At 35.9% G+C, this 13,176-nt stretch overlaps 1 long non-coding RNA gene across 1 annotated transcript in view; it reads right to left on the bottom strand.

Annotated features, from left to right (window-relative positions):
- LOC105375180 (uncharacterized) overlaps positions 1-13,176 on the bottom strand; it is a 93,261-nt gene that overhangs the window by 51,436 nt on the left and 28,649 nt on the right. The window contains exon 4 of the long non-coding RNA XR_007060245.1: positions 8,794-8,857. This is a non-coding gene — a long non-coding RNA (uncharacterized LOC105375180). The remainder of the gene's footprint in view (positions 1-8,793; positions 8,858-13,176) is intronic.

The following is a 13,176-nucleotide window of genomic DNA, read 5'->3' as shown; positions in this document are numbered from 1 at the left end:
TAGTGCAGTACTGTAAACCTTGAGTAACGCCACTGGATCCCTATGAAGTGTCACTAGCAATGCTGGAAGTGCTGCCAAGAAGCAGAGAAAAGTCATTACACTACATAAAAAAGTTGACTTGCTTGATACGTGCAGCAGGCTGAGATCTATAGCTGCAGTTTCCCACCATTTCAAGAGAAATAAATTCAACATGAGGCACATTGTGAAAGACAGGAAGAGAGAAGAAAGGGAGGGAAGGAAGAAGGGGAGGGGAGGGATGGGGTGCAGGGGAGGGCAGGAGAGAGAGAGAGACAGAGAGAGAAAAGAAAAAAGGAAGAAAGAAAAGAAAAAAGGAAGAAAGAGAGAGAGGAGAGAGGGAGGAAGGAAAGGAGGGAGGAAAGAAGGAAGGAAAGGAGGAAAGAAAGGAGGAAGGAAGGAAGGAAAGAAGGAAAGAAAAAGAAAGGAAGGAAGGAAGGGAGAGAGAGAAAGTAAAGGGGAGGGAGGGAGGAAGGAAAGGAAGGAAAGGAAGGAAGGAAAGGAAGGAAGGAAGAAAGAAAGAAGGAAAGAAGGAAAGAAAAGGGGAGGGAGGGAAGGAAGGAAGGAATTCATGAAGCTGTTGCTTCATGAGTAGCTGTGGAAGCAAGTATAAAAACCTTGCACTTTCTGCAAAACACTTTTTAATCTCATATTGAAAATTCAGTTTATATGTGGGTACAGGATTACTATAAGAAAGTATACCTATAGACTAAATTTATTTTTTTTAAAGGAAGTCATTATGCAACATCTTAAAATGAAAGTCTCTAAACCTGGAGAATTTAATGCCAGCAATGGATGGTTTGATAATTTAGGAAGAGGTTTGTCTAAAAAAAAAAATCTCAAGATAACAGGAGAAGCAGCTTCAGTTGATCAAGAGGCTATAGATGAGTTCCCAGAGGTGTCATTAAGAAAATTATTGAAGAGGGCTGGGCACGGTGGCTCACGCCTGTAATCCCAGCACTTTGGGAGGCCAAGGTGGGCAGATCACAAGGTCAGATCGAGACCATCCTGGCTAACACGGTGAAACCCCGTCTCTACTAAAAATACAAAAAATTAGCTGGCGAGGTGGCGGGTGCCTGTAGCCCCAGCTAGTCGGGAGTCTGAGGCAGGAGAATGGCATGAACCCGGGAGCCTGGGAGGCAGAGCTTGCAGTGAGTCGAGATCGTGCCACTGCACTCCAGCCTGGCCCACAGAGTGAGACTCCGTCTCAAAAAAAAAAAAAAAAAAAAAGGAAAAAAAGAAAAAGAAAAATATTGAAGAGAAAGAATATTTGCTCAAACAGATTTTTAATGAGGAAAAAGTGCTCTACTTTGGGTAAAACAATGCCATAAAGAAAATTTACTAGGAAGGAAAAGAAGCAAGTACCAGGACTTAAGGGAAGAAGAAAAAGGTTAACCCTACTGTTTGTTGCACAAATGCAGTCAGGTTTATGATCAGGACTACCCTTATACATAAAGCCACTAAGCTCTTACCCTCGAAGGAAAAAGGGAAACACCAGCTACCGGTCTTCTGGTTATAAAAGAAGACCTGAACGAGACCCTTTTTCTGGATTGGTTCCATTGATTTTTTGTCCCTGAAGTCAGGAAGTATCTTGCTAATAAGGGACTGTCTTTTAAAGTTCTTTTGATATCGGACAATGTTCCTGGCCACTCAGAACACCATGATTTCAACAACAAAGACAATGAAACTGTCTACTTGTCCCCAAACACACCTTTAATTCAACCTGTAGTTCATAGAGTCATAAAAACCTTTAAGACCAATTACACATGGTGCTCTATGGAAAGGATTGTCATTGCTATGGAAGAGAACCCTCAGAAAGAGCATCATGAAAGTCTTAAAGCATTACATTGAAGATGTCATCATTGTTACATAAAAAGCTGTGAAAGCCATCAAGCCTAAAACAATAAATTTCTACTGGAGAAAACTGTGTCCAGATGGTACACATGACTTCACAGGATTTATGACAGAGCCAATCAAGGAAATCATGAGAGAGATTGTGGATATGGCAAAAAAAAAGACAGGTGAAAAGTTTCAAGGTATGAATCTTCAAGAAATTTGAGAGTTAAGAGACACCACACCAGAGCAATTAACAGAAGACAACTTAATGGAGACAAGTGCTTTTGAACTAGTTCCAGATGATGAGGAAGATGGAGAAGAAACAATGCCAGGAAACAAATTGACATCAGACAATCTGGCAGGAGAATTCTGATTATTCAAGACATTTGTGACTTTTTTTAGACATGGATTCTTCCATGATATGAGCCACAGTGGAAGAAGGAAGGATTGGTACCATATAGAAAATTTTTTGAGAAATGCAAAAGCAAAAATATCAGGCAGAAATTATGATGATGATTTCTGTAAAGTTACAGCAATTGTAACCTGCCTCTCCTTCCACACCCCAACCTCTTTCACCTCTGCCACCTCTGATACAATAAGACCAACCCCTCCTCTTCTGCCTCCTAAGCCTACTCAATGTGAAGACAATGAGGATGAAGACCTTTAGGATAAAACACTTCCACTTAATGAATAGCAAAAATATTTTCTCTTCCTTAGAATTTTCATAGTAACATTTTCTTTTCTCTAGCATAATTTATTGTAAGAATATAGTATAAAATACATATAACAAACAAAATAGGTGCTAATCGATTGTTTATTTTCAGTGAGGCTTATGGTCAACATTAGGGGTTTAGTTAAGTTTTGGAAGAGCCAAAAGATAATACACAAATTTTCGACTGTGAAGGGGTCACTACCCCTAAGCCCTGCATTGTTCAAGGGTCAATTGTATTTATTGTAATTTTTTTCCACCTCTGATGCTTTCAACCTTCGCCTTTACCTGCTAAGGTCATCTTTAAGATATGTAAACTTCATTCTCAATTTCCCTACATGCAAGGTTTCCATCAAAAAGTTTCTGCTAGACCATATTCCACTCAAACTCTTATTCACAATCCCTAATTACCAATAGTAATAGTCTAATTTTCCTCTTCCTTAATTGTACTTTTAAAACATTGCCTCTCTTTACAGAAGAGTGCTGACTCTACAGATGAACATCTTTGGGTTAGAATGCTGGCTGAGCCACATGTTAGCTATACAACCTTGGGAAAACTACTTAACACTTCAAAGCATAATTTTATTCATCTGCAAAATATATAATAATTTATATGTACTGCACATGAATTTTGTAGGGCTAATATAGGTTACATAACACATTTAGCAGAGTTCATAGTACTTAGTGAGCACCCTATAAATATAGATATTATTATCATTATTATTATTTTAAAGCAGTAACTTTGGATACTCTTTTCCATGTAAGAGTCTTACATACTTATTAATACTAAGACTCTTACATACTTAATGCAACTGTATTCTTTACTGATCATTTGGTGATAAAATAAATATTTGATTATCTCTAACAACTCTAAGCATTTCAGAGAGAGAGAGGGAGAGAGAGAGAGAAAGTTGGCATGTCTAGTCTGTGCCACTAGATTTCACCCTCTTTCTTAAGGAAGAACTGAGAGCTTCTGCGTCCTATTATCCCTAGCTCCTAGCATAAAACCTGGCACTCAGAAAGAAGAAAGGAGAAAAGACAACAAAGAATTTCATCACAGTATTTTACAATTTTTTCACTGTGAATTCTAGAAAACTTTTTAAACTGGTAAATAAAATTATATATGTTTCTCTATATAATCAAAATATAAATAAACTGGCCAGATTTCTTACCTGATTAAACTATAACATGTCAAATATTTCTTTAAATAAAATTATCAACTGAGACTTTTTAAAAGGGGTGTCAAAACAGACATATTTCTTTGTATAAATAAATTTTATTCATTTGACATATAAGATTATTGACCACCTATTATGAGGCAGGTAATATGCCAGATGCTGAGAATGTGAAGACAAATAAAATATAATCTCTGCCTTTCAGTGGATTACGGATTAATGAAGTAGAATGACTAGTAGGTAGATACACTGTGATATAACATGGCAAGTGTGTGATATGGTGAAGTTGTAAGTTAGTATGGATCCTGAGGATGAGATAACTAACACAATGGGACGCTGAATGGTTATCTGAACACTAGCTCTTGGTTCTTTTTGATGGAATAGAATGTACTCGTGTCAACTTTAAAAAAAAGTATTTTTTCACACATCTGAGGCTTTGAAGGTGACTAGGTGTGTTCTCCTTGCCTTCCCTTTACAGGGGCCGATATTTTCTTCTCTAACGCAACTCTCTGACTTTTACCTCTATCATTTTTCTCCTCCCAAAATTGGATAGTAAGGGCACAGCCAAGGACAAAGGCAGGACTGGAGACATAAGATTGTTGGTATACAAGTGGAGATAGTATATATTACCCTTTTGGTGCAGTGACAGAAATGCAACTCAAACTTGCTTAGACAAGAAACGTGAGGTATTATCCTTCACTACAAACTGTTGCTGGGGACTACTGCTGCTAGGGAATTTGAATGCTGACAAAATTCTCTCACCATTTCACATATGTACTACTTCTATTTCTATTTCATTCTCTCAGACATTCTCCATACTACTGAAATGATGGTTGCTAGTAGCTTCCAGGCTTCCATGATACAGCAAGGGGCTGTACTGTTAGTATCTACTTTAAAACATCTTTAGAAAAATTGTAATTGGCCAGCAGTGACCAGGAACAATAAAATGTGTCCAGAGGAGTAAGCTCTAAAAGAAGACTTTGGCTGTTGTTCAACCATGCAGTGGAGGGAGAGTAAGAAAAAACCCATTCTAGAAGAAAGGGGATGAGGGGGTAGGGCAAACAGAAGCAACCATACATAGATGCTGGCATTCAACAACTGTCTATTGAGTTCCTAATGTGCCAAGCACTGGACTTGGTGCTATAGCCTAGTATGGGAGAATAATACTAATCAAATAATCTATAGACAAATCCTCTCTATGGAGAACAGGAGCAGCTTCCCTGTTGCACCTGAATTCCACCATCTGGCAGCTTCCTGATCCTGACTACAGCCAGTGCTATCAACCCAGAATCAGTCAGGAAAACAGAGCTATCCTAACTCTTCCAAGAATAAGGTTTCGCTCAGAAATTAGGCTTTACACAGATGTTGGAAGAGCTGGAGAGGGAAGGTCAGAGCGTTGCCATGGTAAAACTGGGACTGCTGAAGCCGGAAAGTCAGGGATGCTGGGGAAAATCTCTGCCATCTGCCGCAGTATGGATGGTTCTCGTGTGCTCACTGAGTAGCTGCTATCTCTCACGCCTGCCTATAAGTTTGGTTGCAATCATATCCAGAGAATAAGAGCTTTTTCTCTTCTGCTGTCTAAATCTCATGCAACTTCCTCTCAATGGGAAATTCTACCCGGAAAATAATAGGGAAGGGGAGTTTGGGTAATGCAATTTTCAGACCCTAGAAGGGTGGGGTAATGATGCTGAGCTGACAGTAGACAATCCAGCCCAGCAGCCTTACCCAGTTTCAGATATTAGTATGTTGGTCAATCATTTTATTGATGACCCATCCTGACAGTCCCTGTGCTCAGTATGTTGTATTTCCTTAGCCTTACAGCAACCCTAATGGTATTGTGTGTGGTGTGGGAAGAGAGCAGGAAGAGGAGGGAGTTTTTTCCTACATGTACAGATAAAATTAAAGCAAATCAGGGTAATTGATCCAGGGTTCCACAGCTGTAGTAACAGTGGAGCTGAGGTTCAAATACAAATTTGCCTGATATAAAGCCTGATTTCTGAACTATACACACTGTTGCACCTATATCTCTTCTATATAATTGTGGGTTGAGACTAAGGGAGCCAAAGCCAGTTCATTTTCCCATGTAATTTCCCTGTGGATGGTACTTCTAATTCCAATTACTCCTATAAAACAGTCTGGTCTCCAGAATAATGTAATTTATAAGGGGGCAGTGTTCAAAGGGCTTAAATGAAGAAGGCTTCCATCTCTCTACAGTCCTTCTCTATGATCTCTCACTCTCCAATTTCTTCTTGCTAATTTGACTTCTGAATACTATGATACTGGAAATGAGGTATTTTTTTATAGTAAAAATGATTTTATTACTGGAAAGATATGTTCCAATATAAATACATATATCTGAAAATTGCTTTATAAATGCATTTCAGATGCATATATAATCAAATTTCTCAATACTTTATGTATTAACTAGTATATTAAAATCTTGGACATAGAGAGCTGAGAGCCACATACTAGACCACTAAGATGACTCCACTAGCAACTTCATGGATTTCATCATGATATGGCCTGCAGCCCTGTCTTCCTATGTCTAGAAGAGGAAAATACAAGGGTATTTCAGTCCAACTGAAGTTGAGAAAATTGTCTCAAACATGTGCCATTGGGAGTTAGGGTGCTGTATTTCTTGTTTCTTAGCTTGTGTAAGGAGGATGTTAAGTCTGTCTCCCTTTAGTATCTGTGAAGATTTAATACCATTTTTATAAATGGTAGCCAAACTACTCTTTAAGTGCAGGAGAATGTAGTTTTAATTAATGGTAAAGGTCATTTTGGGAAGATAGATTCAATAAATGAAATTAACCTTTTTTTAAAAAAAAGTCATGAGGCACAAACAATAAATTGACTATAATGAAATGGTATTTTTTAACCCTATTGGTCAAATTGACTTGTATTTGTACATTTTAAGCAATAGCATCATCAAATGTAAGGTAATAAAAATATAATAATCTGCTACTTCCAAACATTTTTCTCTCTAAATTTTGAGAATAGATAAGAATGGCACAGTTAAAAGCAACATGCACCTTTAGTGGCTTATAATAACTCTATTGAACTATTCAGAGTTCTCAAGGGAAAAAAACTCTTTCATTATTCCTAGATATTTTCTTCAAAGACTTTAAGCTTCTTTCTACTCAACAGGTAAAGGCTGCATCATGCCAACCTGTCATCATTCTATCACCTCTCGCCACCGAAATTCAAAAGAAAATTCTTGCTGAGGTGGCTTGGAAGGAAACAGAAAATTGTAAAATGCCTTCAGTAAATAAGGCTCCTTAGCCAGCAGTCAGACAGCATGCATTCACTGTGAAACTCAGTGCACTTACAAACACCTCTGCTGTCTCCTCCTAGGTTGGCTTCTATGTGGTAGCTGGGAAAATGCAAAATATAAATAAACAGAAAAAAACAGGTGTCATGGGGATTTGGTAAAGCAACCTTTCATTTCTGGAAGTCTGTGTGAAAAATAATGCTGAAATCAAAATCCAAAAGTGTTGGGTGGAGTGAACCCAGTCTCTGGATATTTGGCTGTACAAACTCAAAAGCCCTAAGCCTTCTGGCCAAAAGGAGCATGATTGGCAGCTTACAGAGATGGCTGGGATGGAAACAGCAGGCATGTGGATCAGGGCTGAGGTGAGTGAACAAAAATGCCTGGATCCCTGGGGGAAGAGTGTAGAGGGAGGATAAATGATATTTTGGCATTTAGGGAAGTTTCTGGCATATCATATTGAATAAAAGATAATGTGTACTTGGCAATAGAAATGAAACTCAATGACTCATTAGTTGAGATAAATCTGATTCCTCTTGAAAGAAATTCTGTCTCAGGTTGCAGATATAAGTAATTATGTATGTCATGAAGTGACTTATTTAATTTTAAATCAAAATGGGGATGACTTTGAATAGCAGCAAAAAGAAAAAAGCAAAATTAATGATGATAATGTCTTTTAGCAGTGTATTAGTACTTAGGCAGGAGTTATAAATTGCTGAGGTCTGCACATAACAGTTTACAAGCATGTGATATACAGCCCTGATGCATTGATATCTATTTTAATTGAGTTGGTGTTTTTAGCAGTAAATAATCTACCAGCCAATTCCAAAAGGAAAAAAAAAAACCAAACACATAAACCTAAACCTTCAGCCTGTATAAAAATTCAGGCTTTAACACTGAATCACTAACATGTAGTAACAAATAAGACAAATATGTAGGAGTATTAAATAGGATCCGTAGCACCCAATTGCCAAGTTCTAAGAATACTCATTTATTCTGCCAATCTGGAATGTGACATTTATTTCACATATTCGCAGACAAAATATCTCTGAAACGAGGAAGCTATGATGGAGAAAGGCATTATATGGCACAATCCTAGAGCCAGAAAGACATTATAACATGTTACAGAAACGTAAGAAAGGGGGAGAGGGAGGAAAAGAGGAAGAAGGAACAGAGGGAGGAAGGTAAGGAAGGTCAGGAGGGAGGAAGGAAAGAAAAAAGGAAGGAGGAAGGATACAAGCAAGCAAGCTGGCTGCTGCTACTAATATTATATATACAGTATAATATAAAAATATATATTAGAGAACCCATATATTATGATTCAGATAATTAAAAGTTAGAACAATAGACTGATAATCATAAAGATTTCCAAGCTGTATGTATTCCATAAATTTAGAAAATACAGGGAAAATGAGAGAGGTGTGCTCTAGGGAATTATAGGAAAGTAAAGGTAGATAATCTGTACTGTAATGAGGTACGACAGCAAGTTTCTATGATGTTCCCCTTCCTGTGTCCATGCACATGTACCCTAAAACTTAAAGTATAATAATAATAAAAAAAAGAAAGTTTCTATGGAGGCAGTGTTCTAGTCATTCTAGTCACTTTGACGTTGATAAGCAGTATATTTGTAATACTGTGTAGAGGCTGGTGCGTCATATAAACCAAATATAAATGGACACATTTCAAAGTGCTACATGGATTATTTCTAACACAACTGTTCAACTGTAGTTTTGTTTCTCATTATATGAGAAATATATCTTTGACCATAGGATTTGTTCCAATAGGCTTACCTAGGGTTAGCTGCAATTCTCTGATGGCTGGTGAGCTCCTGTTCATTCCTTTTTATCCAACAAGCTAGATAGGAAAGCAACCAATGAAGAATAATATTATTATGGAAATTATCTTATATTTGCTTCTCTTTTTTGTGAAGAGATACATATCATATTCCTTTATTTAATTTTAAGCCCTCTTTTAGTTTTGTTCCCCACCATTTCTTTTTTTCTCTAATTTTTTATATTGTGGTAAAATATACATAATATAAAATTTACCATCTTAATCACTCGTAAGTGTACAGTTCAGTGATATTAAATACATCCATATCGTTGTATAGCCATCACCACCATCCAACTCCACAACACTTTTCATCTTGTAAAACTGAAACTCTATACCTATCAAATAATAAGTCTCCATTTCTCCCTCTTCCTCATCCCTGACAATCACTATTCTACTTTCTATGTCTATGATTTTGACAACTCCAGGTAATTCATATAAGTGGACTCATACAATATTTGCTTTTTTGTGACTTGCTTATTTCACTGCCATAATGTCCTCAAGGTTCATTCATATTATGGCAGATTGCAGAAGTTACTTTTTTAAAGGCTGAATAACATTTCATTGTATGGATATACCACATTTGTTTACTCTTTCATCCACTGAAGGACACTAGGGTTGTTTCCACATTTTTGCAATTGTGAGTTATGCTACTATGAATATGGATATGCAAATGTATTTTCAAGACCCTGCTTTCAATTCTTTTAGGTATATACACAGAAGTGAAGATGCTGGATCATATGGTAATTCTATTCATAATTTTTTGAAGAACCACTCACTATACTGTTTTTCACAGCAACTACACTATTTTCCATTCCAACCAGCACTACACAAGTGTACGAATTTCTCCACATCCTCATCAACACTTATTTTTACTATTTTTTATAGTAGCCATTGTAGTCTGTGTGAGGTGGTATCTCAATGCAGTTTTGATTTGCATTTCCCTAATGATTAGTGATTTTGAGCATCTTTTTATGTGCTTATAGGCCATGTGCATATCTTCTTCGGAGAGATGTGTACCCAAGTACTTTGCCCATTTTTGCATTTTGTTATTGTTGTTGTTGTTATTGAATGTTAGGAGTTCTCTACATATTCTGGATATTAATTCTTTAGATGTATGATTTACAAATATTTTCTTTCATTCTGTGGGTTTTCTTTTTACTCTGTTGATAGTGTCTTTCGAGGCACAAATTATTTTTTTAGGAAGTTTAATTTGTGTATTTTTTCTTTTGTTGCCTGTGCCTTTGGTCTCATATCCAAGAAATCATTGCCAAATCCAATGCTGTAAAGCCTGTGCTCTATGTTTTCTTCTAACAGTTTTATTTCTTTTAGTCTTATATTTATGTTTTTGATCCATTTAATTTTTGTATATGTTGTTATATAAAGTTCCAACTTTATTCCTTTGCTTGTTAATATCCAGTTTTCTCAGCACCATTTATTGAAAACTGTCCTTTACCCAGTGGATGCTCTTGACAGTCATGTCAAAAATCATTTGACAATATATGTGAGGGTTTATTTGTGGGCTCTCCATTTCACTAGTCTGTATTTGTACCTACACCATACTGTGTTGATTACCATAGCTTTGCAGTAAGTTCTGAAATCAGAAAGTGTGAGTTCTCCAGCTTTGTTCTTTTTTTCAAGACTATTTTGGCTACCCAGTTTCCTTTGAAATTTCATATACATGTTAAGATGAGTTTTTCTATTTTTACAAATAAACATTATTGGGAATTTATTACTGTATTGAATCTATAGATTTCTTTGGGTAGTATTGATATCTTAACACTATTAAGCCTTCCAATCTATGGTCATGGGATGTTTTCATTTTTTTATGTCAACAATTTCTTTTACCAATGTTTTCTAGTTTTCATTGTACACGTCTTTCACCTACTTGGTTAGATTAATCCCTAAATATTTTATTCTTTCTGAAATGATTGTAAATTGAATTATTTTATAATTTCCTTTTCATATTAGTTATGTTAGTGTATATTAATGCACCTAGTTTTTGCATGTTAACTTTTTGTCCTGCTATTTTGCTGAATTCATTTATCATTTATAACAGTTTTTGATTACTGAACTTATATTAATTCAATCTTCTTACTCGCTATAGAAGTTTATTCAGGTATTTTATTTCTTGATGATTTAGTTTTACAGGTTTTATGTTTCTAAAAATTTGTCCATTTCATCTAGGTTATCCAATTTTTTGACAAGCAATTGTTCATAGAACTCTCCTAGAATCATTTATTGTGCTGTAGAATCAGTAGTAACATCTGCACTTTTATTTCTAATTTTAGTAATTTGAGTCCTCTTAACTCTTTTTCTTAGTCTAGCTAGTTAAAGGCTTGTCGACTCTATTCATCTTTTCAAAGAACCACCTTTTGGCTTTAGTGATTCTATTTTTTCTATTATTTATTTCATTTATCTATGTTCTACTTTTTATTATTTCTTACTTCTGCTAGCTCTGGGCTTAGTTTGTTCTCTTTTTCTAGTTCCTTAAGGTGTAAAGTTAAATTGTTGACTTAGGATCTTTCTTGTTTTTTTAATGTAAGTATTTATAAATTTCTCCATTAGTACTGCTTTCACTAAGTCCTATTAAGTTTTGGTATGTTGTGTTTTAATTCATCTTTAACTATTTCCTTATGTGCCTTATGGTTTTTCTTTGATCCATTGGTTGCTTAAGAGTTTGCTGTTTTATTTTCACAATTTGTAAAGTTTCCAGTTTTACTTCTGTTTTTGACTTCTAGGTTTATCTTATTGTGGTCAGAGAAGATACTTTGTATGACAGGTATTTTGAAATATACTGTGACTTAACTTTTGGCCTGGAGAATGTCCCCTCTGCACTTGAAAAGAATGTGTATGATGTTGTTAAAGAGAGTGTTCTGCATATGTCTTTTACATCTAGTTGGTTTATTGTGCTGTTTAAGTTCTATATTTCCACATTTTCCTTTAGTTCTTTGAACCTCTTGAAGACAGTTGTTTTAAAATTTATGTAAGTTAGTTCTGTCATTGGGTGCTTTTGAATGACAGTTTCTGCTGATTTATTCATTTCCTTTGAATAAGTATTACTTTCCTGAATTTTTATATGCCTTATGATTGTTTGGTTGAAAATGGGATATTTGAATCTAATAATGTGGTACCTGGAAATTCGATTCTTCTCTCCTGGTTTGCTATTTGCTGTTGTTTTATATTGTTTTTGTATTTTAGAAAAATATTTGCAAACTGTCTCTGTACTGAGAATCAGTCTGAGACCCTTAAGGTCTTCTCAAGTCTTTTTGAGCTTGTGCCTTTTCCTGAGCATGCTCAGTACTTTCCAATTTTTCTCCTATATGCAGTTGTTTTTGAGTGTCCTAGTCTTTAAGATCTGACTTCTAAAAGGGGGAAAAGAGAAAAATGAAAAGAAGGAGGGGAAAGGGCCCCAGCCGTTTAAATACTCTGGAAGTCACTATAGCTGAGGGAGAAGCACTTTCACTGCTGGTGGATGGTGCCATAACAATGGTTATCCACCTTTTTATTTGCACCTCTGTGATCAGAGGGAGCAATCGATGATCATAGCACCAATCCCTAATACTGAAAGACAGGGTGCTTTTTGCCCACACTTACTCCTGCAAGCTGTGGCAAGTTGCTCACAGAAGCGTGCACAGCTGGCTGCCCCTGGCTGGGGGTGGGGGATAGGAAGCTTATATTATACTAACAGCTGAGACTGATAAAAATTAACTGCATTTTACCATCCAAGCCTTCTCCTAAAAGTTGCAAGACTTCAATAGCTCCAGAGTTTCAAAATAATTATACCAGACAGGTACTGCCAGTGCAATTGTTGTCTAGGTAGGGATACAGATTCATGGTTGTTCCTACTCTGCCATCTTCCCAGGATCCTCACATTTATTTTAAAAGAAGAAAAATAACCTGCAAATTTAAGTTATTTTCAATATCACATTGCTTGGACATACCTTATAATATACCAAGGTATAGCAAATTTACTCTCAGAACCACTATAAATGGTAAAGGACTCTTCAAAAATTTAGAGATAAAAGGGCCAAAATCCATTAGAAAACTGAGCAAAGCACATAAAGACAAAATTCACAAGGAGTTATATGTAAATAACTCAAACATATGAAAAGATGTTCATATTTAGTTTTTGTCCAGCAATTCCATGTTTAGTAACTTAACCTGATGATATATCCTCCCAAATACAAAAACATATGTTGAAGCTTATTCATGGCAGCATTACTTACAATATAAAAATATTGAAAATGAACTAAAAGTCTATATATATGGGAATGATAGAATAAACTATGGTAATTTCCTATAATGGAAGGCTAATACATTATTTAAAAAGTGAGGAATAT

This window comes from Homo sapiens, chromosome 7 (genome assembly GCF_000001405.40).
Source record: "Homo sapiens chromosome 7, GRCh38.p14 Primary Assembly".
In the NCBI taxonomy this organism is placed as follows: domain Eukaryota; kingdom Metazoa; phylum Chordata; class Mammalia; order Primates; family Hominidae; genus Homo; species Homo sapiens.
Note: the sequence above shows the minus strand (reverse complement) of the source record. Positions and strands in the feature narration are given on the sequence as shown.